This window comes from Homo sapiens, chromosome 3 (assembly GCF_000001405.40).
Source record: "Homo sapiens chromosome 3, GRCh38.p14 Primary Assembly".
Taxonomy (NCBI): Eukaryota; Metazoa; Chordata; class Mammalia; order Primates; family Hominidae; genus Homo; species Homo sapiens.
This window is the reverse complement of record NC_000003.12, coordinates 112,422,541-112,425,004: the sequence shown is the minus strand read 5'-3', so window position 1 is coordinate 112,425,004 and position 2,464 is coordinate 112,422,541. Positions and strand designations below refer to the sequence as shown.

The 2,464-nt window shown below is 36.3% G+C and overlaps 3 annotated features.

Annotated features, from left to right (window-relative positions):
- Positions 1,401-2,253: an enhancer, noted in NCBI's record as "OCT4-NANOG-H3K27ac hESC enhancer chr3:112141599-112142451 (GRCh37/hg19 assembly coordinates)". NCBI's record gives its function as "activates a minimal SCP1, AML or CMV promoter by ChIP-STARR-seq in naive and primed H9 embryonic stem cells {active_cell/tissue: H9 hESC(naive and primed)}" and the evidence as "EXISTENCE:reporter gene assay evidence [ECO:0000049][PMID:30033119]".
- Positions 2,094-2,464: part of a biological region, named in NCBI's record as "3q13.2-q13.31 proximal HERV-H recombination region", that runs on past the window's edge. NCBI's record gives its function as "recombination_partner: LOC108004532".
- Positions 2,094-2,464: part of a mobile genetic element, noted in NCBI's record as "direction; reverse", that runs on past the window's edge.

Below are 2,464 nucleotides of genomic sequence, written 5' to 3'. Positions count from 1 at the left end.
TATAATACTTTAAGCTATTTTATTATTTCAGTGGAAACTCAGGGATTATGAAAGATAAGCATGTATGGCAAGTCTTTCATCTTGAAATAGAAGCCTATTATTAAATTTTTCTAAAGCCAGAATATTTGGAAAATATTAGTACAACAGTTCATGAATACAAGATAAATCTATCAGTTATTTCAAAAGTTGGGCAAAGTGTTATGTTTTGAGGCATCTGGTTAACATAAAATATATTTTAAAATTTATTCATTTGTCATCAGATACAAATATTTCATTAAATATTGTAATATGCCAGCTCAGAGAAAGATTTTTTTATCCTGTTTGGCAAGTAGATTGCTTGGTTCACCTGTCAAACTGCGTCATCAGAGACTCCACTCTTTCTATTTATTTTCTTTGCTATACTTAGCTGTTCTGCAGGAAATTACCTTCATGTGATGACTGCCTTCAAGTACAGTTTCAAGAAAGCTATTCCAGACCAGAAATACCAGAAAGCCTCATGGACCAGATTAAAATGCTTGAATTACATGGTTTATTAAATCAACTTAAAAACACACAGCAAGAAACAAGTGGAAAGAGTTAAGTTAACATACTTAAGTTAGAAAAGTCCAAAAGAGAAGCTAAAAAAAGAAAGATTGCATTATTTTCAGACAATTTAATGCAACAGAAAATAATCCTAGGTATGATAATAGAGCCCTAGGATAACACTGTATTGTGGTTTAAGCAAATCACTAATATTCATAATAATGACCAGAAATGGAAATGAAAATATATGATTGTATTCTTTAGGTTTGCAAAAAGGCAAAACAGGTTTATAATTTATTTTAGGAAGAATTCCATTCAATACGCTTTTTAAAAATCTAGGTGACTAAAAGTTTGACTTTTTCATGAGTACAGACTAGGATTTATTTTTCAGCTCTGTCACTCACTGTGTGACACTGCATAATCTAAATCATATATCTGAGCTGTCATTTCTTCAACTAGGAAATGGTAAGGGTAATACATTTCTGAAATAGTTATCATGACAATTCAATAAATTTATTCATGTATGATGCTTAGGATAATATTAGTTGCTATTATTAATATTACTAAAAATGTTTTTCTTGAGTTTTCCTAAATTCATTGTGTGTATAATTTTAATGGTTACAAAATATTTTGTCATACAGTTTTAATTTAAACTACTAAATCAATCTCAATCAGATACTGGCAGGAGTTTTTGTTTTTCAGAAATGGATAACATTAATCTGAAATTTATATGAAAATGTAAAAGTTTAGAAATGGGCAAGGCAAGCCTGAGGAAGAAGAAGAAAAAAAACTAGAGGACTTGTACTAAACATAAAGATCTGTTAAAAACCATAGTTAATTATACTCTTATATATATTTAGTAGTTAAGACAGTGTGGCTCAAATATAGATTAAAATTACCAATGGTAGAGAATAGAGAGTTCAGAAGCAGATTCATCTGATTTATGAAAAATATGATATAGCGGTGCAGTGAGAAATGGATGGGACCATTGGATATTCACATGGAAAAAGCACATATCAACTTCTTCCTCACAAAAATAAATTTCAGAACAATTACATATCAATGTGAAAGATAAACAAATAAGGCTTTTAGAATCATCAATGCTATATATGTGAATTGTCAGGCCTCTGAGCCCAAGCCAAGCCATCGCATCCCCTGTGACTTGCACGTATATGCCCAGATGGCCTGAAGTAACTGAAGAATCACAAAAGAAGTGAATATGCCCTGCCCCACCTTAACTGATGACATTCCACCACAAAAGAAGTGTAAATGGCCGGTCCTTGCCTTAAGTGATGACATTACCTTGTGAAAGTCCTTTCCCTGGCTCATCCTGGCTCAAAAAGCACCCCCACTGAGCACCTTGCGACTCCCCACTCCTGCCCACCAGAGAACAAACCCTCTTTGACTGTAATTTTCCTTTACCTACCCAAATCCTATAAAACGGCCCCACCCCTATCTCCCTTCGCTGACTCTCTTTTCGGACTCAGCCCACCTGCACCCAGGTGAAATAAACAGCCATGTTGCTCACACAAAGCCTGTTTGGTGGTCTCTTCACACAGACGCGCATGAAATTTGGTGCCGTGACTCGGATCGGGGGACCTCCCTTGGGAGATCAATCCCCCGTCCTCCTGCTCTTTGCTCCGTGAGAAAGATCCACCTACGACCTCAGGTCCTGAGATCGACCAGCCCAAGAAACATCTCACCAATTTCAAATCCGGTAAGCGGCCTCTTTTTACTCTCTTCTCCAACTTCCCTCACTATCCCTCAACCTCTTTCTCCTTTCAATCTTGGCGCTACACTTCAATCTCTCCCTTCTCTTAATTTCAATTCCTTTCATTTTCTGGTAGAGACAAAAGAGACACGTTTTATCCGTGGACCCAAAACTCCGGCGCCGGTCACAGACTGGGAAGGCAGCCTTCCCTTGGTGTTTAATCATTGCAGG